Source organism: Homo sapiens, chromosome 3, assembly GCF_000001405.40.
Source record: "Homo sapiens chromosome 3, GRCh38.p14 Primary Assembly".
Taxonomy (NCBI): domain Eukaryota; kingdom Metazoa; phylum Chordata; class Mammalia; order Primates; family Hominidae; genus Homo; species Homo sapiens.
Genome location: NC_000003.12, coordinates 157868641 through 157892315, shown reverse-complemented (window position 1 = coordinate 157892315; position 23675 = coordinate 157868641). Strand labels below are relative to the sequence as shown.

Below are 23675 nucleotides of genomic sequence, written 5' to 3'. Positions count from 1 at the left end.
ACAATTGCTGGTGATCAATGATTTGTATCCTTTCTGTCTTGATAAACAGAAGGAAATTAATAAAATAGTTCATGGAGGCCATAGGACATTATTCCAACTAGTTACTGGGTGCTCGTAGGGCACAGATGCATCACTGTGCAGCCCAAAGTGAGCTTCTGATATTTTGAAACCTTTTAAAGTGTATATAGGGCAAATCTTTCCATAGATTTGCTGAAAGAGTTTCAGTCTTATCCTTTGGAACAAAGGGTGTAAATTGGTACAGAATAATGGTCATATTGGTGATAGCAACTATTGGTTTTCTACATACTGACTACCAGATACTCTGCTGAAATGCTTTCCTTCTATTACTTTTAATTCTTTGTGGAGAATATTTTGTTACTCCCAATTTGCCCATGAGAAAACTGAGACTTAAAAGCACTAGGTGACTTGCCCAAAGTCATGCAGCTAGTAAGTAACTGATTTTTAAGTTCTGGTCTTTGTGACTTTCCTCTATTCCCCTCATGTTGCTCTGGAATCTCCAAAACACTGTTTTATGTGTGGACTCTATGTTCCTGAAGCCAGATAGAATAATTGAGCCAACACTGTACAGTCTTTCTTTTCATAAGTCATTTATTATTTCAGGCACTGTTGCTGAGAAGCCCCTAGATCTGGGGTTGAAAGGTAGGAGTCTACTACTGATTGGCTGGATGACCTACAGCAAGGAAGGGATGTGTTGTTACATGATAATGGGGCAAACAATCCTGTCTATCTCCATTGCCAGAACAGATGAGAGAGTCCATGAAAGTTCGAGAAGAACAAATTGCTACATAATTGGAAGGGATTAAGTTACAAATATTGATTTGTTAAGGTAGGTAAGCACTGGCTAATTAGAAATTTCAGAATGATCCTTTTTCTTATGTTAATTCAAAACAAACAAAAAACAAGCCAACAATTATTAGTAACTCCCTACAGAGGAAAGAAGCTGATCTTAAGGGGTTGCCTCTTCTGACTCCGGCTAGTCTACATCACCATTTTTCACTACCTAGACCAAATTTAATTGCCCCGTTTCCATCTTCCCTTTTGGCTTCATCTGGTGTCTTAGGCACTTTTAGACTCTGGTTGCTTTGTAAGCACTTGGGGCTGTAGCTGCATCTAAGTGGGTAAATATGACCAGTATTGTCCCTCCTTTGCTATTTTTGCTGGTGGAAATGGAATCTTCCAGCATCTTACAGACTTCCCAAATCATAGTGGCCTTTGGCCCTTTACGTGGTCAATAAACTTCTCTCTCAGGGAAGCCCTGTTTCCTCCTTAACATGGCCCTCTCTGATTTGGGCCTTCTGGACTCATTGTCCGCCCTTTCTCACTGCTCAGTTTACACTCCAGAAATACTGAACCAACCTGGTTTTCTCTCTGCATCTACCACAGGGTTGGTCACCTCCATGCCTTTGCTCAGGCTGTTTCCCCTGCCTGGAGGGCCATTTTCCCACCATATGCCCCTTCTTCCCCAGCTTGCTCCAGGTTACTCTTCAGAATTTGGACTAGGCTTCACTTCTCCCAAGAAGTTGCTCTTGATTTCCCACTTCTCTGTGCCCCCACATCTCTTTGAGCATGCCTCCTATATGCATTACCACCATACATTGAAATGATCTCTTTACCTTCTTTATCCTCCTGTCTATACTATGTATTCCCTCAAGGGAGTAACATTATCTACTCAACCTATGCCCTTCATTTCTAATATAGTACACCACATACAGTAAGTATTAAAAATGTTTCTCAAATTAATTGATTTTTTCATTTAATTTTATATATTGAAATTAGAAAAATCTCTGTTTTTGAATGCTGGTTATGAGGTCCTCATATGCTCAGCTAGAGAAAAGATTTGTGCAAAGGCAGTTGTTTTTGATGATTTTTTTTTCCTCTTCAGAAGAGTCCTTCCTCTTCTCACTGTTCTGCTAAAGAAAAGACTGTTATAAGCCTCTTCATGAGTTGGGAGACATGGAAGTACAGACCTTTGAAATTATCTGATTAAAAAAAAATCATACAACCATAGAAATTGATCTAGTTGAGTTTAAAATTGGGCATTCCGGCCAGACGCGGTGGCTCATGCCTGTAATCCCAGCACTTTGGTGGGTGGATCATGAGGTCAGGATTTTGATACCAGCCTGGCCAACATAGTGGAACCCTGTCTCTACTAAAAATACAAAAATTAGCCGGGTGTGGTGCCATGCTCCTGTAGTCCCAGCTACTCGGGAGGCTAGGTGGGAGAATCACTTGAACCCAGGAGGCGGAGGTTGCAGTGAGCCAAGACCACGCCATTGCACTCTAGCCTGGGTAACAGAGTGAGACTCCGGAAAAAAAAAAAAAAAAGCATTCCTTGAGACTGAGAAAATGGAATCTTGTTACAACTTGCACTTGTCTATTATGGGACAGAGGATGAGGAGCATGAAGGCTCAATGAACTTATGTTACCACTCTGATGTGGGTCCCCAGGATGGTTTCAGTAGTCCAGAGCTTTTAGTTGATCTTTGTGTTACAAATTACAGCTATGTGTAAATCAAACCCTATTTCTGTCTTTCTTATTTACTTCTAAATATACCAACATTTTCCTCCTCTAATACTTGGGTTCATAAATCCTCCTTTAGCCTTTCTTGGGTTTAAAGCCATATCTAGATAGAAAACAAAAACAAAAACAAATGAAAATGATCATTTGGATAAGCAAGACTCCAACTCTCTTTTTGGCTGACGTAAACCATCAGTTGAAATGAAAGTGTTGGGTTGAAGAAGGGCTGGAATGATATGGCTGCTTGTTTTGACTCCTTATCACACTCTGTGTCCAAGAAAATGTCACCTACATTTTCTGTCTTAGATGTTCATCCCTCCCTCTTCTTGCCGTTTGATTTTTGCTTCTTGTTCTGTGCTAAAGCCGCCTGCCACCTCCCTTCTTCAAAACTATATTTTACACTTGAATACACTTTCTTCTCTGCTTTAAAAGTTTTTGATAATCAGATGATGATTTTATAGTCCTGATTTATGTTTTAGAAGTTACTTTTCATAAATATCCCAAATGAGATCTATTTGGCCCTTGCTGCAGACCAGATGCGGGTCAGATCTGGCAGAGCAATTGATTTAATCCTGTACATTTTCATAATTGGTAGGAATCAGTTTTCCCTTTATTCTAACATTACATATTTGTAACAATATGTGAAACAGGCTTCATGCTTTTCCTCTACACTTTCATGTATGGTATGGCCTTAATAAACTTTAGTAGTTTCCTGCAAGAGCATCACACACATCAGTATACTGAGCTTTCATTCTGTTTGCTGTTTTTAGTAAGTGAATTGGGTTAATAGGAAAGATTATTAAAAAGGAGGAAGGGTATAAGGAAACAAGAATGTATATTTTTCTCATTGAGTCTTTTCATTCTTGATATGCATCTGATTGTCTTTCTTCCCATCTTTGAAATCCTAAGATTACATTCTCTTGGGAAACTTATCATGGGCCTGATTAGGAATTTACTAAGTTATTTGGGCAAAGCCAATTTGTGCTTAATTTTAAATCAGACAATTATTCCAACTCTCAAGCCCACTTAGACAGAGCAAACTTGATAATGAGGGTGGAGACAGACTCTTCGTATGATAAATTTTACCCTGTGTGTTAGGCAGGACCCTGACCTTGCAGAGAGAAGACCCAGATTGAATCTTTGCTCTATCATTCACTTGCTGCATGAACTTAAACAGATACCAGAATGGCTTTGCGTCTCAGTTTTCTCATCTGTACAATGAAAATAATAATTTTTACCTCTGGGTTATTCTGAAGATTAAAATGAGATAATTTATATACATGGCAGTGCCTAACACAATGCTTATTTAAGGGACATTCAGATATATTAATTTCTCCCACCTCATTTGTCTGCCATAGTGATATGGTACCCCTCCTTGATAGGGACAATGTTGGCCCAATGCATTGTTCATGCTGCCTGTTGAGTAAGAGGGATAATGGTGATGTCACAGAAACATGATTATTTCTGGGAGGTGAAATTGAACTTGGAAACATGGCGTGTGCTTTTTTTCTTTTCCAAATTGCAGGACCTCTGCAGGCTAGTCTGTGAATTGCCCTGAAAGTCACTGTGAAAAATTAGCTTGCAGTATTAAGTAAGTACATATTTTTTGGGACAAGGAAGCACTTCAGAGGTGGTTTAGCTGAAAGCCCTCATTTTCAGCTGAGGAAATTCAGGGTCATGGAAGTGGATGACTTGACCAAGGCCAAATCACTAGTTGGTTATATCTGTAAATCAGTTAGATTACCTAGCTGCAGATAGCAGAATCATCATTATGTAGTGTAAGTAGAAAAGGAATTTTCTAAATAGCATTAAGCAGCAGAGAGCACCTCCAGAAGGACTGGAGACTCAGGGTTGGAGTCTGCACAATCAGAAGCCATTCCCAAGTAACAGTTGTGGAGAGCTCTACTGAAGAGCCAGCTGCTGCTGCCATTGGCCACAGGCATTCCAGATCAGCACACAGGATGCTAGTGCTGGGCCTGTCCTATTGCTATCTCTGGGAGCTAGAAGACTTTCTGCCATGCTTCCATCCCCTGTCAGGATGGATTCCACATGGCGACTTCCTTCTGCTTATCTCTGTCTTCTCACTTGAAATATATGTCATTGGACAAACGGATCTAATGGCCCAAGCCTAGGCTGTGGGCCTAGACCTAGCACCAAGGGGGCCAAGAAAATAGGTTTATGTCTTCTGCCTTGGCAAGGTGGGCCTCCCGAGGTTGGAAATTCCCCAGCTGGAAAGGGTGCTGGACAACGCAAATGCATGTCAAATTTCCACCACATTAGAAGATCCACGCAGCCATGCGGTGCTGCTTTTACTGCTCTATAACTCTTCTTCATTAGTATAAAGCAAACCCTGGTTTCAAAGGTGAGACTCATATTTCAGTACAAATATTAAGTTTGTCAGAATTCTGCAGGCCTCCTCTCTGGGCATCCTTGGATATGTGGAGTCTCAGAGAGAAAAGTACATTAATCTTCTTAGACAACATGTGTTTTTCTAGGGCTTTAAACTGCAAATAGATTTGGATGCATAACCAATGATTTATATGATATATGTTTGGGCTTCTATAAGATCTTTCATATATACAAGATTTTCTATAGTCTAACCATCTGATTCATATGGGTTAAAGGTAGGATTTAAGTTGCATTCTTTGTCTCAAGTGGCCCTGAAATTTTGGGAAATCAAGGAGAAGGGGAGGAGTCTATAATCTCTGGACTATCAAATCTGATGTTAGTCAAGGTAGATTACTAAATGCATAGTTTGCTAACACTTAGAGAACAGGAAGTGCTCACTAAGACCTGCATGAATTTGCAAAGTAGATTCTGACCTACTGTGTTCTGACCTATTGAGAACCACCTTCTGGTCTAAGCCAGATAGAGAATACATGTGCCATTCATATTCTACTTTAGTTCCTGTGATGACATAGTCCTGAGGGAGAATAAGGATAAAGAGAGAGAGATAGAAATGTAGAGGAAGAGGGAGACTGGTAGATAATCAGGAGTATATTGATCTTTCACATCCATTTGAAATATGACTTAAAAACTTCAGAGTTGTGTTTGGACACAAATGGAATGTCTTCATTCTAAAAACTTATTGAATATTTGTTTTATGCCAGGCATAATAAACTAAACATTTATTAATACCTTAATATCTACCAGAGATTATGCTAGTTCATCTCATTTAACCATCACAATGATCTTCCCAGGTAAAAATCATTATACCTTTTCATAGATTATATTATACTTTTTTTTTTAACATCACTAAATTACAGTGAACTAATTCTTAAAAAGGTTAATAATCTGCTCAAGGTAAATTGCAGAGCTAATATCTGTGTCTCTAAACATTGTGATTCTTTTCTCTATCTTCCCTGTCACGTTGCCTCTCATGAGTCCCATAGAAAGAAACCCATTTAAGTGGGAAGAAGGGGCCACATTGAAAATGGCATTCAATGGATCTTGAAGGAAGAGTAAGAGGTCACCAAGGGAAAAAAAGATGGGAAAGCTAACTGAAGCAGAGAGAACATGAGGTATGAAGCCAGGGCCTTGCATTCCAGGCGGAAGAGCTGAAGCTCTCCCTTAGGCAATGGGATTAATGAGCAAGAAAATAATATGACCATGTATTTTAAGTTGCTATTTTACCTAACAACCAAATGAAATAAAACCAAGGGTAGTATCTGGATCATGAATTAGAGATTCCAGACTGCAGCTACAAAACCAGTGGCCTGAATTGCCATTGGCTGGGCATGAGCCCTGTTACCTTCCCAGTGATGGAAGGCTACTTTGCTCTACTCCTACTCTTTTGTCCCCTCTTTATTTTTTAATTCCAAGAACAAACAATTTATTCTGTTAAAAGTCAGTCTGATAAACTTATCTGAGCTGCTTAACTTATTTGATGGCTGAAAAAGCCGAGGTGAGGATGACGTTTATATTTAACTAGAGGGTTTTTTTTTGTTTTTTGTTTTTTTTCAGCTTTAATCCAAGGTACTAAGCAAACTGATAATTAAGGCATTACTGTGAAGAGAATTTTTGGTTAAGGGAGAACTTGTACAGAATTTATTAAATCAAAGTAGGTGGTCACCCAATCTTTTATATAAAGCTTTTTTTTGTTTGTTTTTTAGTCTATGCTTCTCTTAATTTCATTTCTTTGCTGTTTCTTCCTGCTTCTGCTGCTTATAGTAATGAGCTAAGAGTGAATGTTTAACACATATGTGCTGCAATCACCTGAATTTGCCAAACTTTCTTATCAATTTTTCTTATCAATTGCTCTCTGTTCTTTTTTTTAAATTTTATTATTATTATACTTTAAGTTTTAGGGTACATGTGCACAATGTGCAGGTTTGTTACATATATATACATGTCCCATGTTGGTGTGCTGCACCCATTAACTTGTCATTTAGCTTTAGGTATATCACCTAATGCTATCCCTCCCCCCTGCCCCCACCCAACAACAGTCCCCGGAGTGTGATGTTCCCCTTCCTGTGTCCATGTGTTCTCATTGTTTAATTCCCACCTATGAGTGAGAACATGCGGTGTTTGGTTTTTTGTCCTTGCAATAGTTTGCTGAGAATGATGATTTCCAGCTTCATCCATGTCCCTACAAAGGACATGAACTCATCATTTTTTATGGCTGCATAGTATTCCATGGTGTATATGTGCCACATTTTCTTAATCCAGTCTATCATTGTTGGACATTTGGGTTGGTTCCAAGTCTTTGATATTGTGAATAGTGCCGCAATAAACATACCTGTGCATGTGTCTTTATAGCAGCATGATTTATAGTCCTTTGGGTATATACCCAGTAATGGGATGGCTGGGTCAAATGGTATTTCCAGTTCTAGATCCTTGAGGAATCGCCACACTGACTTCCACAATGGTTGAACTAGTTTACAGTCCCACCAACAGTGTAAAAGTGTTCCTATTTCTCCACATCCTCTCCAGCACCTGTTGTTTCCTGACTTTTTAATGATTGCCATTCTAACTGGTGTGAGATGGTATCTCATTGAGGTATTGATTTGCATTTCTCTGATGGCCAGTGATGATGAGCATTTTTTCATGTGTTTTTTGGCTGCATAAATGTCTTCTTTTGAGAAGTGTCTGTTCGTGTCCTTTGCCCACTTTTTGATGGGGTTGTTTTTTTTTCTTGTAAATTTGTTGGAGTTCATTGTAGATTCTGGATATTAGCCCTTTGTCAGATGAGTAGGTTGTGAAAATTTTCTCCCATTTTGTAGGTTACCTGTTCACTCTGATGGTAGTTTCTTTTGCTGTGCAGAAGCTCTTCAGTTTAATTAGATCCCATTTGTCAATTTTGGCTTTTGTTGCCATTGCTTTTGGTGTTTTAGACATGAAGTCCTTGCCCATGCCTATGTCCTGAATGGTATTGCCTAGGTTTTCTTCTAGGGTTTTTATGGCTTTAGGTCTAACATGTAAGTCTTTAATCCATCTTGAATTAATTTTTGTATAAGGTGTAAGGAAGGGATCCAGTTTCAGCTTTCTACATATGGCTAGCCAGTTTTCCCAGAACCATTTATTAAATAGGGAATCCTTTCCCCATTGCTTGTTTCTGTCAGGTTTGTCAAAGATCAGATAGTTGTAGATATGTGGCATTATTTCTGAGGGCTCTGTTCTGTTCCATTGATCTGTATCTCTGTTTTGGTACCAGTACCATGCTGTTTTGGTTACTGTAGCCTTGTAGTATAGTTTGAAGTCAGGTAGCCTGATGCCTCCAGCTTTGTTCTTTTGGCTTAGGATTGACTTGGAGATGCGGGCTCTTTTTTGGTTCCATATGAACTTTAAAGTAGTTTTTTCCAATTCTGTGAAGAAAGTCATTGGTAGCTTGTTGGGGATGGCATTGAATCTGTAAATTACTTTGGGCAGTATGGCCATTTTCATGATATTGATTCTTCCAACCCATGAGCATGGAATGTTCTTCCATTTGTTTGTATCCTCTTTTATTTCATTGAGCAGTGGTTTGTAGTTCTCCTTGAAGAGGTCCTTCATGTCCCTTGTAAGTTGGATTCCTAGGTATTTTATTCTCTTTGAAGCAATTGTGAATGGGAGTTCACTCATGATTTGGCTCTCTGTTTGTCTGTTGTTGGTGTATAAGAATGCTTGTGATTTTTGTACATTGATTTTGTATTCTGAGACTTTGCTGAAGTTGCTTATCAGCTTAAGGAGATTTTGGGCTGAGACGATGGGGTTTTCTAGATAAACAATCATGTCATCTGCAAACAGGGACAATTTGACTTCCTCTTTTCCTAATTGAATACCCTTTATTTCCTTCTCCTGCCTGATTGCCCTGGCCAGAACTTCCAACACTATGTTGAATAGGAGCGGTGAGAGAGGGCATCCCTGTCTTGTGCCAGTTTTCAAAGGGAATGCTTCCAGTTTTTGCCCATTCAGTATGATATTGGCTGTGGGTTTGTCATAGATAGCTCTTATTATTTTGAGATACATCCCATCAATACCTAATTTATTGAGAGTTTTTAGCGTGAAGGGTTGTTGAATTTTGTCAAAGGCCTTTTCTGCATCTATTGAGATAATCATGTGTTTTTTGTCTTTGGTTCTGTTTATATGCTGAATTACGTTTATTGATTTGCGTATATTGAACCAGCCTTGCATCCCAGGGATGAAGCCCACTTGATCATGGTGGATAAGCTTTTTGATGTGTTGCTGGATTCGGTTTGCCAGTATTTTATTGAGGATTTTTGCATCAATGTTCATCAAGGATATTCATCTAAAATTCTTTTTTTGTTGTGTCTCTGCCAGGCTTTGGTATCAGGATGATGCTGGCCTCATAAAATGAGTTAGGGAGGATTCCTTCTTTTTCTATTGATTGGAATAGTTTCAGAAGGAATGGTACCAGCTCCTCCTTGTACCTCTGGTAGAATTCGGCTGTGAATCCATCTGGTCCTGGACTCTTTTTTTGGCTAGCTATTGATTATTGCCTCAATTTCAGAGCCTGTTATTGGTCTATTCACAGATTCAACTTCTTCCTGGTTTAGTCTTGGGAGGGTGTATGTGTCGAGGAATTTATCCATTTCTTCTAGATTTTCTAGTTTATTTGCATAGAGGTGTTTATAGTGTTCTCTGATGGTAGTTTGTATTTCTGTGGGATCAGTGGTGATACCCCTTTATTATTTTTTACTGCATCTATTTGATTCTTCTCTCTTTTCTTCTTTATTAGTCTTGCTAGTGGTCTATCAATTTTGTTGATCTTTTCAAAAAAACAGCTCCTGGATTCATTAATTTTTTGAAGGGTTTTTTGTGTCTCTATTTCCTTCAGTTCTGCTCTGATTTTAGTTATTTCTTGCCTTCTGCTAGCTTTTGAATGTGTTTGCTCTTGCTTTTCTAGTTCTTTTAATTGTGATGTTAGGGTGTCAATTTTGGATCTTTCCTGATTTCTCTTGTGGGCATTTAGTGCTATGAATTTCCCTCTACACACTGCTTTGAATGCATCCCAGAGATTCTGGTATGTTGTGTCTTTGTTCTCGTTGGTTTCAAAGAACATCTTTATTTCTGCCTTCATTTCGTTATGTACCCAGTAGTCATTCAGGAGCAGGTTGTTCAGTTTCCATGTATTTGAGCGGTTTTGAGTGAGTTTCTTAATCCTGAGTTCTAGTTTGATTGCATTGTGGTCTGAGAGACAGTTTGTTATAATTTCTGTTCCTTTACATTTGCTGAGGAGTGCTTTACTTCCAACTATGTGGTCAGTTTTGGAATATGTGTGGTGTGGTGCTGAAAGAAATGTATATTCTGTTGATTTGGGGTGGAGAGTTCTGTAGATGTCTATTAGGTCCACTTGGTGCACAGCTGAGTTCAATTCCTGGGTATCCTTGTTAACTTTCTGTCTCGTTGATCTGTCTAATGTTGACAGTGAGGTGTTAAAGTCTCCCACTATTATTGTGTGGGAGTCTAAGTCTCTTTGTAGGTCACTCAGGACTTGCTTTATGAATCTGGGTGCTCCTGTATTGGGTGCATATATATTTAGGATAGTTAGCTCTTCTTGTTGAATTGATCCCTTTACCATTATGTAATGGCCTTCCTTGTCTCTTTTGATCTTTGTTGTTTTAAAGTCTGTTTTATCAGAGACTAGGATTGCAACCCCTACCTTTTTTTGTTTTCCATTTGCTTGGTAGATCTTCCTCCATCCCTTTATTTTGAGCCTATGTGTGTCTCTGCACTTGAGATGGGTTTCCTGAACACAGCACACTGATGGGTCTTGACTCTTTATCCAATTTGCCAGTCTGTGTCTTTTAATTGGAGCATTTAGCCCATTTACATTTAAAGTTAATATTGTTATGTGTGAATTTGATCCTGTCATTATGATGTTAGCTGGTTATTTTGCTCATTAGTTGATGCAGTTTCTTCCTAGCCTTCATGGTCTTTACAATTTGTCATGTTTTTGTAGTAGCTCGTACTGGCTGTTCCTTTCCATGTTTAGTGCTTCCTTCAGGAGCTCTTTTAGGGCGGGTCTGGTGGTGACAAAATCTCTCAGCATTTGCTTGTCTGTAAAGGATTTTATTTCTCCTTCACTGATGAAGCTTAGTTTGGCTGGATATGAAATTCTGGGTTGAAAATCCTGTTCTTTAAGAATGTTGAATATTGGCCCCCACTCTCTTCTGGCTTGTAGAGTTTCTGCCAAGAGATCAGCTGTTAGTCTGATGGGCTTCCCTTTGTGGGTAACCCGACCTTTCTCTCTGGCTGCCCTTAACATTTTTTCCTTCATTTCAACTTTGGTGAATCTGCCAATTATTCCTCTTGGAGTTGCTCTTCTCAAGGAGTATCTTTGTGGCATTCTCTGTATTTCCTGAATCTGAATGTTGGCCTGCCTTGCTAGATTGGGGAAGTTCTCCTGGATAATATCTTGCAGAGTGTTTTCCAGCTTGGTTCCATTCTCCCTGTCACTTTCAGGTACACCAATCAGATGTAAATTTGGTCTTTTCACGTAGTCCCATATTTCTTGGAACTTTGTTCATTTCTTTTTATTCTTTTTTCTCTAACCTTCCCTTCTTGCTTCATTTCATTCATTTCATCTTCCATCACTGATACCCTTTCTCCCAGTTGATCGCATCAGCTCCTGAGGCTTCTGCATTCTTCAGGTAGTTCTCGAGCCTTGGCTTTCAGCTCCATCAGCTCCTTTAAGCACTTCTCTGCATTGGTTATTCTAGTTATACATTCGTCTAATTTTTTTTCATAGTTTTTAACTTCTTTGCCATTGATTTGAATTTCCTCCTGTAGCTCGGAGGAGTTTGATCATCTGAAGCCTTCTTCTCTCAACTCGTCAAAGTCATTCTCTGTTCAGCTTTGTTCCATTGCTGGTGAGGAGCTGCGTTCCTTTGGAGGAGGAGAGGCACTCTGATCTTTAGAGTTTCTGGTTTTTCTGCTCTGTTTTTCCCCATCTTTGTGGTTTTATCTACTTTTGGTCTTTGATGATGGTGACGTACAGATGGGGTTTTGGTGGGGATGTCCTTTCTGTTTGTTAGTTTTCCTTCTGACAGACAGGACCCTCAGCTGCAGGTCTGTTAGAGTTTGCTAGAGGTCCACTCCAGACACTGTTTGCCTAGGTATCAGCAGCAGTGGCTGTAGAACAGCGGATTTTCATGAACCACAAGTGCTGCTGTGTGATCGTTCCTCTGGAAGTTTTGTCTCAGAGGAGTATGAGGTGTCAGTATGAGGTGTCAGTCTGCGGCCGTATGAGGTGTCAGTCTGCCCCTACTCGGGGATGCCTCCCAGTTAGGCTGCTCGGGGGTCAGGGACCCACTTGAGGAGGCAGTCTGCCCGTTCTCAGATCTCCAGCTGCATGCTGGGAGAACCACTACTCTCTTCAAAGCTGTCAGACAGGGACATTTAAGTCTGCAGAGGTTACTGCTGCCTTTTTGTTTGTCTGTGCCCTGCCCCCAGAGGTGGAGCCTACAGAGGCAGGCAGGCCTCCTTGATGGCCTGTGGTGGGCTCCACCCAGTTTGAGCTTCCCGGCTGCTTTGTTTACCTAAGCAAGCCTGGGCAATGGCAGGCGCCCCTCCCCTAGCCTTGCTGCCGCCTTGCAGTTTGATCTCAGACTGCTGTGCTAGCAATCAGTGAGACTACATGGGTGCAGGACCGTCTGAGCCATGCGCGGGATATAATCTCCTGGTGTGCCGTTTTTTAAGCCCATTGGAAAAGCACAGTATTAGGGTGGGAGTGACCCGATTTTCCAGGTACCGTCTGTCACCCCTTTCTTTGACTAGGAAAGGGAACTCCCTGACCCCTTGCACTTCCCGAGTGAGGCAATGCCTCACCCTGCTTTGGCTAGCGCACAGTGCACTGCACCCACTGTCCTGCGCCCACTGTCTGGCACTCCCTAGTGAGATGAACCTGGTACCTCAGATGGAAATGCAGAAATCACCCGTCTTCTTCGTCACTCAGGCTGGGAGCTGTAGACCGGAGCTGTTCCTATTTGGCCATCTTGGCTCCATCTTGTCCCCTCTTGAACACCGCAACCTATGTGCAAGATGGAAGCTAAGGAAAGAACAGAATTACAACAGTGAAGTGAAGTCTTCCTAGTGTCTTAGCACAATTATTACTTCATGCATTTTGCAAATGGGCATAATTTTTTTTTTGAGATGGAGTCTCACTCTGTCGCCCAGACTGGAGTGCAGTGGTGTGATCTCAGCTCAACCTCCGCCTCCCAGGTTCAAGGGATTCTCCTGCCTCATCTTCCTGAGTAGCTGGGACTACAGGTACGTGCCACCACGCCCAGCTAATTTTTTGTATTTTTAGTAGAGATGGGGTTTCACTGTGTTAGCCAGATCTCCTGACCTCGTGATCCACTTGCCTTGGCCTCCCAAAGTGTTGGGATTACAGGCGTGAGCCACTGCACCTGGCCACGTGGGCATAATTAAAAAAAAACAAACCTCCAGGTGCTACATTCTTTGTGAGTTTCACATATTAATATCCCTAAAGATAACATGGGACCATTCAGGGAAAAAACAAACTTAGCATGATACTAGCTCTTACCCAGAGCAATCCCATGAAGTGCTGGTAGGATGGCTTTGTACTGTCTGGGCTTTTTCAGCTCATCAGAGTCTGCCCTGCACTGACATTATGCTCCTCTCATCACTCTTAGGAGCCAGGTCAGCATCTGTGTCTGCCTTCATATGGTGGATGGGAAGTATCTGGACTTCCTTTTAAAAGTGTCAGCTTTTCATGGACTTCTCAGGGGCTTTGTGACAATATTCTAAGCTTCACGGGCAATCTATAGATTTAATATGTCCTGGTTATTATTATGCTTGGTAACTTTTTTCCCCCATCAAAAATAGAATAAATGGATCTGGAAAAAACAAAAACACTTTTTAGCTGCTTCAGAAGATGGTCAGTCTGAAATAGTGGATATTTAGGACAGAGTCTTGGTCTCAGGTTCTTACCCAATAAACTCATAATATGAATTTTTTCCATAACTTAGTTTACAGTATATGTAGATTTAGCATATATATGTTGAAAGATTATTTTAAGAATAAAAAGATTAATCAGAGTACTTTAAATTGCCTTGATCATTCTGATTCTTTCTACAGTTCATCTCTTTCATGTAGTCTTCAGCTCACGGACCACCATTTCCCATGATGTCCCCTCCTCTCCTAGCTGGGCACATCTGTGCACAAGTAGCAAGCAGGGGCACCACCCCCTTCCCCTCTTCTGAGTCTTGCTCTAGTAGGAAAATGCAGGAACCTGGATATCCCATTGGAGTGCCCCTCAGTTTCTCACCAATAGCTCAGAGCTCAGCATTCAGAGATCTAGGGCTTCTGGAGAGTCTTGAAGTTTCCAGCACACTAGGAACCAGCCTATATATGCCTTGTGGAGTCTTCCTGCTTGTAGTCATCACTGTTCTTGGTTTTATTTGATCAAACTACAGCACCATGTAATTCCTGGATTTCATCTATCCAGCAAATCTATACAATAGTCAATCCTGAGAACCCTTGGTCTACTTCTGAATAGGCATAACTGTAGTAGGGTTATATTGTAGTAGGCTATTAGGAAAGATGGTGTTTTGCCTCTCCTTCCTTCAAATCCAGGTGCTGGGGAATGGGGAATTCAATATTTCACTTTAGCATGTCTTGAGGGTAATTTGTAAACCCAATTCCATCAATAAAATTGTCTGCCCCAGTGACTGCTGCTCTCACCTGATGACATCTGATCTGCAAGTGACTCCCTGAGGTCACGGGGACCAACCTGCACCTGGCTCAGAGGCCAGGTGCTCCTGGAAGTGGCCAGTCTTGTGGGTAACACATTTGCCCTGGAATGTTAATCTCTTTTCACAGGGCTCAATATTTGGATCGCCTGGCCCCAGTCAGATACCTGGAAATCACACTGCAGCCCCCTCAGATTGGAACAGGAAGCAAGCCAGGAGCTCTGAGATGCTTTTGGGCTATTGTTGACATATGGCAATCTGATTTAGTCCTGTTTCCTCCAAGTCCCCAAGGTTCTGTGGTCCCGCCTTCCTAGTCCTCTGGGAAATGAAGAAGATTGCCCTGCTTTTCTCTGATACCTCTGTCCTCGTGTTCCTGTGTAGATCAAGCTGGATGCAACATGACATGTTTGTTTGGGTTTTTCTCCACTCTATCAACATCAAGTGCCATTAGGTTGTAAACTGGTAATGACAGTGGTAACCATAGGTTCCAAAAGATTTTAAAACTTTCTCTCCTTTAGCCTGGCAAGAAGCTGAGGTAGTAACACTGAAAAGCCCCCAGGTAGACATATAACACAAGTCTTACTTGTGGTTTGTTAAGTAAGTAGCCCAGCACATACTTTTCTGTTTAAGTTAAAGGTTAGGGTGCTATAAACCTCGAAGCTTGTCAAGATTAAGCAGCATTGGGCAGAAAGATGTGCTGTGAGCACCGGCCTCCAGTTATTGGGTCCAATCACATTTTAGTGAAATAAGATTGCCTTGCTGGAGTTTCATTTGTGGGCTTGTAAGTGAAGGGTGTATGGCAGATGCTATGATTAAGATTTCATTTCCTGGCTGATGCTACCACAATGATCACAGCACCAGCAGGGGAAAACTCACATTTGCTGGCAAGGTTAAATAGTGAGTAGTTCTGAATTTAATACACAGATTAAAAACAAAAAGAAACCACTGCCACCACCACAACAAAAACTCACTCAGGTTGATTAAGGGACTGCCTTTCATATTTCAGGAGATGAAGCGCTTGTGTTAATGTCTTTCTACTTTGTTTGAAGATACCAACTTTTTCCCACACTCATTCTTTCATTGATTCATTTATTGAGTGCCTATTTTTTCAGATGCTGGGCATTCAGTAGTGAACAAAACAGCAAAATTGTTGCTGTCACGGAGAGAGAAAGACAATTTTTTAAAAAGAAACAAATACATTGTTATAAGCATTATAAAGAACAGTGCAAAGTAAGGGAGATAGAAACAATGGGGAAGCTATTTTTTAAAGGACAGGGAAGGCATCTCTGAAGAGGTACACTTAAGCAGAGGCCTGAAGGAAGTAAGGGAGTGAATCCTGTAGATGTTTCAAGAAAAGGCTTTCTGGGCAGCAGAAATAGTAAGGTAAAAGGATCTGAGGTCTACTGAGGAACAGCGAGGAGGCCAGAGTAGCTGGACTGGAGTGGGCAGAGGAGGAAGAGTAGTAGAAGGTATGGTTAGAATGCACCTTTGGGAGATTTTGAGCATGCGAGTGACATGATCTTATGTTTTAAAACTTCCGTCTGGCTGTTGTGTGGGATTGCAAGTGGAACTAAATAGGAGGCTATTGCAATAATCTAGGTGAGAGATGATAATGGCTTGGATTCTGTGATTTGGCAGAGGTGGTAATGAACGGTTGGATTCTGGATGTATTTCAAAAGCAGAGCTGACAGGGTTTCTTGATGATTAGATATGGGTGTGTGAGAAAGAAAAAAGGCAAGGATGTTACTATGTATTTAGCCTGAGCACCTGGCCAAATGTAAGTGCAATTTTTTTCAGATGGGGAAGATGAAGAAGAGAAACATTTGTGTGTGTGTGTTGTCTGGTTTTAGACATGTTAAATTTGAGATGCCTAACAGACTTCCAAGTAAAGATGTTGAAAAAGAAGTTGGAAAAGGAGTCTTGAATTCAAGGGTGAGTTTGGGGCTAGAGTTATCCATTTGGGGGCATATCAGCATAAAGGCGGATATTTAAAGTCATAAGACTAGAAAAGATCACCCAGGAATGAGGATAAAGAAGTCCAAGGCTTTTGCTGTGGGGCCCTCTGAAATTTATAGGTTGAGGAGATGAGAAGGAATCAGTATAGGCACCAGATAAGAGCTGCTGAGCATGGTAGGAGAACCAATAGGGAAAGGCATCCCAGAAGCTAAAAGAAGAGTGTTCAAGGAGGAGAAAGTGGTCCAAAGTGCCAAGTGTTTCTGGGGGGTAATAGGAACAGTGATAAATCCCCATTGAATCTGATAATGTGGAGGTCATAGATGACCCTAACAAATGTAGTTTCACTGGAGAGGAGAGGAGGAAGCTTACTGAAGTGGTTTCAAGACAGAATGAGAGGAAAGTGGATGAGAAGTGGAGGCAGTGAGTATGGACAACTCCTTCAAGAAGTTTTGCTGTAAAACAAAGGAGACACATTGGGTAATAGGTGAAAGGTTTATGAGGCCAAAGAAAAGTTTTTTCCAACAAATGTTGAGGAACTACTGCAGGCCAATCACAAGTTCTACTCTCATGGTACCCACAGTTGGTGGGGTGGGGTAGGAGAGTGGCCAAACACCATCAGCAATGATGAGTCAGAGAGTATGTGCTATGAAAAGAGCAGGACAAAGAGTCCAGCACAGCCAGCCACAGTTGGGGCCACTAACTGAATCCATCCAAATGAGCCAGGGAAAGCATCCCAGAGGAGGTGATGCCTACGCTAAGCGAAGAGGAATGACTAGTGTTTAAGAAGGGCACAAGTCCTGTTGAGTGACCACATCCACTTAATTTTGCCTTTTGGGGGGTTTTGGCCACTAGCAGTTGGTAAAGCATTGTTCATTGTTCATAGTGTTATCTCCCTTTTTCTCCATGCTGCTAAAAGCTGAAGTTTACCCTCAACCAAAAAAGCAGCCCCTGCAAGCCTCCCCAGACTCTCCCCTTGACACTATTACTTTACACTTGCGATATGGCAAACGGGAGCTATTTGTGGTTCCCTGCCTACCATCACTATTCCAAGTGAGGCCTCATGTCTTTACCCAGTGGGGCTCTCTCTCTGGACTACTCACCTCCTCCTTACCTTCCCATCCTCATTCATTTACCTGGTGAACACAAATGGAAGTTCTTGTCAAACTCTCTAGAAATTGACCTGAAGATATTCACATGTTATTACCAGTTATACTATTGATACTATTTATACTATAGATTATATTTATTGAGCTTCCATAAGTATCAGTTATCTTCCAGGCACATTTTCCTTCACTGCCTTTTTTAAGGGCCTTTCTTCATTCCTATGTTGCTAAGAGAGGAGAATGGGTGAGTTGACCTTGCAGGGAGGCTAAGTCTGGAAACATCCCTTTACTCTCTTCCTTCTACTCCTTCTACTCTTCCTTTCCCACTTGAAGCATGGACCATTTGCAGAGGTCCCCCAAGTTCAGTCTTCATTAGGCACCACATCACTTAATCCCAAAGTCTCTCTTTCACCTGACTGACACCAAGTCTCCCTCCCTTGGTGCCTCAAGGAGCTGGGTGGTAGGTTGGGGCCTGAAGAGCAGTGGTTTACCAGATATACTTGCAACCAGGTGGATTGGTTGTGGCAAATGCAGGTCTGAGCAGAACTTACGCTGGGAAGTTGAAGGCAATGATTGGGAGAGACTGGGGAGAAAGTGAAGTCTACAAGGCAGGAAGCAGGACTGCAAGTGGGAAAAGGAAGCCTGTGGGGAAGCAGCAACTATCCTGGAAGCACTGTGCAAATCCTGGTGTTTGCATCTCCCAACTTATGGTTGCAAGGGTGAGTTGGGTAGGTTGAGAGAAAAGCATCTGATGAATCCATCCCCAGTAGATCCTCACTAACTCGTTATGGCTTAACTGTTTTAGCTCTCCTCCAGGAGGGAGACAAAAAAGAAGAACTCATAGTGGTGGGATTTCAGGCAGAGGGGTAATACCCCAATGGAATACGATCGGCAGGGTCACCTCCTGAAGAATCCCCAAGTCAGACCAGATAAATATCCACTTTGCAGTAGCAGATGGATGAGGAAAGCTGTAAGGATGAATATCTTGGTTGGGGTTATTGCTGTCACATCACAGAAGGCCGTGGAAAAGTGCTGGAGTGATAATGTGAGTTGGGCCTCCTCTGTGCTTACATCCTCAGGATGTAAGCAGATCATGGCTTCCTGGCTTTCTCCGTTGGAGTCCAGCTTAGAATCTGAGTAAGACAATTGCCTGGGCTCTAGGAGGCCTGGCCAATTACTCGTGGTGTGATCTCTGGAAAATCACTTGAGTGGGGCTTAGTTTTCTCGTTTATTTGTTAGCTGGAGATATGCTGGATCACTTGCCTTACAGGGAAATGACCATGAAATGAAACATGTCAAATAACTTCATAAAATGTGGAGTTTTACATGAATGCCAGGAGTCACCCTTCTACTGGACTACAAACACTTTAAGGCAGGAATCTTATGTTGTTCCTCTTTGTAATCCAAGCCCATCCTATGGCACGTGGCCATGGAAGCTCCCTTTGGTGGTGTGGACTGCTGGATGAATCCCAGCATTGCTGGCTGGCTGTGTGGGGCAGCCTTGGGCAGGGAATCCTGCCACATCTTGGCTGACTGACAACTGCTTGTACTTTTCCTTCCCCCTCACAGCTGATGGTTCCATGCTTTCCCCATTTAAAATGGCATTTTGGGAAATGGTTCTGCCCCAGAGAATGCATTAAGGTGACTCTGCTTGTGGTACCCTCGTTCCCTCAAAGGCTCGTTATTTAAATTATTGCTCATTATTAGCAGCCCTATTTTCCCTGGCAGCTGTGAGGTGAGATGACATTTCCAGGTTTCTCAAAGCACCCTGGGAATGATCAGGCTAAGTCAGGTTTCTCCCCTTGACGCGGCGGCCACAGGGAATAGTGGAAGGAGTCTACTGACATTGCATGAAGTGGGTGGCAGAGAGAGAGAGGGTCACACTTCCCCATGTGTATGGGCTCTACCCTGGCTACAGCTTCTTTTTTGGCTCTTCCTGGAAGAAAAAGAAAGCCAAAAGGAACCTGGTTATCGTCCTGTGATGTTGTGAGCTCTAACTGACAAGGCTGGACCTGCCTGGCTTCTTTTGGGTTAAAGTGTCAGGAATAAGAGGTCACAGGCAAGGTGGCAAGGAGAGAAGCAGAGAAAATCTGTCTGTGGTTTTTTAAAAAAAGGGAAGAAAGAAAAGTTCCTGCTTTTCTTTCCTGTGTGAGAAAAACTATTTAAACTGGCACAAAATATATTTAAGAAGCATATTCTTAGAGTTACTTAGAAAAATACCCTGTATATTCTGGCAGCAGCAAAATGTATCCTTAATAGAATTCATATGGGGCCCTCAATGATCACGATGTTTGGAGAGGAGCCAGATAGTAAGTAATTTAAACATCACAGGAAATTAAATTTTAGAATTCAATTTTGCATAAAGTTTTCTGTAATGAAAATGTCACCCATAAATTATGAAGTCTGATTATATTCTTTTTTGACTTTTTAATAAAATAATAGAGGTACTTGACAGTCAAGAACAAATGCATATTTTATGTGAATAGTATTGCGTTCAACCAACGTCCTCTGGAAATAATGGAACAGATGTTAACACTGCTCTATCAGCTATCAGGTGCTCTGTTAAACAGCTCCAAACACAAGTATTTATTAAAAAATGCTAAAGGGGTTGTCTTTTAGGGTTATCTAATTGTAGGCTTAAAATGTAGATGGTTAATGTAATTAATTATACATGTAGAATTATATAGTTGGGCTATAATTTATTATATGTGTGCATATATAAATTATATAATATTCTGTTGTAAATTAATTTAATATGGGCACAGGGAATGACTTCTTGAAAATATTAAATAGTTCATAATGTGGTTATAAATCAAAACTAATCTGAATTTCCACTTAATTTTGAATTTTGAGAAGGAGGATGCTTTAACTCACTGTAGGGGACTTTGGGGGTGCTGATTGTGTTTTAGATTAAATCCACAGCCGGTAATTATTTTTAATAATATTCAACTAAAAAATGCCCCAAATAAAAAGCCTGAGCACTCTTAATTTGTTTCAGGCCAAGCAGCATTCTTCTTCAAAGCAAAAAATATAATGAACGTTTATTTTGAAAATTGACCTCCTCCATCATAACTCCAGGGCCCTAAGGAGGTCTTTCTTTAGGCTCACAATAAACTCTTGCGCAATGCAGAGATCATGACCCTGCTCTCTTGCAGGGGGAGAGAATTCTTGACAATGTATGTCCTATTTCATATTTCCCCCTTTGAATCCGGTTATTACTTCATCTACATGCTTTGTATTGGGGGACGGGGTCTACACATATTTTAAATTTTAAAGGAGCGCGACAAAGCTTTCTTACTTAATCAGAGTCACACACAAATGTAGGCCAGGCTGTTCATCCAGAAGCTTGTATCTTCTTTTGGAAAGTAGGCCATGTCAGTTCACAGTGGAAGGAAGATGAAGATGATGCTCTGTATGACTTCCAAAAAGGTGGGCATCTTTTTGTTTTTATCTGTTTTTCCTATGAGGACAATGACTAGGGTGACCAACTTGTCCCAGTTTGTCTGGGACTCTCCTAGTTTTAGCACTGAAAGTCCTGCATCCTGGAAACCCTCTCAGACTTGAGTGAACCAGGATAGTTGATCATTCTAAGTATGACCCATAAAAGCTTACAAACCAGCATTTTTAAAAGATGTGTGCACAAAAGCACATGCTGCCATCATAAAGGTGGCATGAAGAGGCAGAAGGTACTGATGTCCATCGAGGGTGGGCCTCTGCCCCTTGATTGTCAGCATGTGCTGGGGGCTGGCCCTCAGCTTTGCAAGTGCATTACTGAGATTTTAGAAGCTGATCCATTGTTGATCAGGCTCTAGGTCACAGATGAAAATGGGCTCCTTAGTCAGCAAAAGCAAGGAAGCTCCTGCTGATGTGTATGAGACTTTGTGTGAGTGAGTGATGGGTTCTTGTTGAGCTTAGCCACTAAGATTTCAGAGCTGGTTTGTTGTGACAACTTGTGTCAATATAAAATTTGTCTTGAGGTGAGGTACTATCATTAGAAGAACCTAAAATACATAACATTGCCCTAGCCATCGGGGTGGGTTGTGAGGAAACTAATATTGGAAGCGAAAAGATGATGATCCCTATGGTTTTGTGGCAAAATGTTCAGGTAAACTATTGCTTCTAATAACTAGGCAGGACAACTACTTACCTAATTAATTTGCAGTGCTATGAGAAGATAATGAAAAACAGGACTTTAGTAGTGTGTGATATTATTGGCTATGCTTGACAAGATATTACAAGAAAGATGAGCTCAGAAGAGAAGTGGTCAGTTTATAAAGCAGAAAAGAAAAGGTACAGAGAGAGTTTGAAATTCAGGGCCTTAAAATTTGGAAGAGTTGACTGCTTCTAGAACCCAAACAATAAGAGGTCGTATTTAAAAAGACTTTGAAGGGGAAAAGGTTTCTCACTTAGTTAATAAGCCTCAAGGCAAATATTGCTCAAGCTGTGACCCTCTCATTCAAACCTAATAGCCTAATATCGGTATTCACAATGGAGTTCAGAAAAAGAGGCATGAAGGTGAAGAAGCAAAGAAATAAAACAGATCTAAGAACCTACAAGCTGTAAAGTTCTTTGGGTGTGCTTATTATTTATTTATTTATTTATTTTTTGAGACAGAGTTTCACTTTTGTTGCCCAGGCTGGAGTGCAATGGCACGACCTCATCGGCTCACTGCAACCTCTGCTTCCTAGGTTCAAGAAGTTCTCCTGCCTCAGCCTCCAGAGTAGCTGGGATTACAGGTGCCAGCCACCATGCCCAGCTAATTTTTTTTTCTATTTTTAGTAGAGATGGGGTTTCACCATGTTGACCAGGCTGGTCTCAAACTCCTGACCTCAGGCAATCCACCTGCCTCGGCCTCCCAATGTGCTGGGATTACAGGCATCAGCCACCGCACCCAGCCATGGATGTGCTTATTGTCCAGTGAAGTGAAAAGCAAAGAGAGTTTTTAGGGAACTACATAACTAAAGCAACCATGTAAAGGTATCTGAATATTCAGAACTTAAAACAACCCTGGGGTCCCTAATCGGAAGCAATTTGAGAAACCTGGGATGCCCCTAAGGAGTTCAAATTCCCTAAAGCTCACTTTAAATGTGGCTAAACAGAATAAAGAAAAAGAAGAATCTCCTCCAGGATGAGTCAAAGAGCCAAGGAAAACGATGAAAAAGGAAAGTCTCCTCAGAGAGCAGAATCGTGGCTTAACCAAGGGGCCTCCATCCTGAGGGTAGGAGGTCTGCCCAGCTGGATTCCTGAATTGCTGCGGGTCAGAGGCTGCTGTGTGTCTTCCATTAGTTTCTTTTCAAATGGAAATGTTTACATATACCTTACTGGGTGGTTATGTATGCACATGCATATATGTGGACAGGAAGTAGATAACTTGTCTTTTTTGGATCAGGACCTCAGAACCAAGAAAAGTTACATCATCTGGCTCTGATGGAGAAACAAATTGGACATCATCCAGAAGGATTAAACTTTGAACTGGATGCAATGGTGGATGGATGGAACTTTGGCCGGTCTCCCCTGTGGAGGAATTAGGGCTATTCTGTGTTGGAAGAAAGAAACAAAGAAATATTTGGTGATGAAAAGGGTGGGCCATGGCAGATATAGTAAATGATGATCAAATATTCCATGTACTCACTCAAATTTCCCAGTCTCACTGCAATTAGACTAGGCAGGTATGTGATTAATTAGTGGAAGTGGCCCATTATGCAGGTAGCCATCTTCAGTCTTTTCACATAATTTTCATTTATTTGCAGTACATTTATTTCAGACTACATTTTCTGTCTCTGCCTTCCAATAAATGTCCTGCTTGGAACTTATATCACTCCTATTCACTACCAATAGATGCTATGTTGTTTTTCTTGTGATAATGTTATCAAGCACTTAGGGACCAAAATTTAGTTAACATATATTCAACACTGGACACGCT

At 41.3% G+C, this 23675-nt stretch overlaps 1 annotated feature.

The window, feature by feature from the left end:
• Positions 19742-20879: an enhancer, noted in NCBI's record as "VISTA enhancer hs638". NCBI's record gives its function as "enhancer in: limb[5/9]" and the evidence as "EXISTENCE:transgenic organism evidence [ECO:0001131][PMID:17130149]".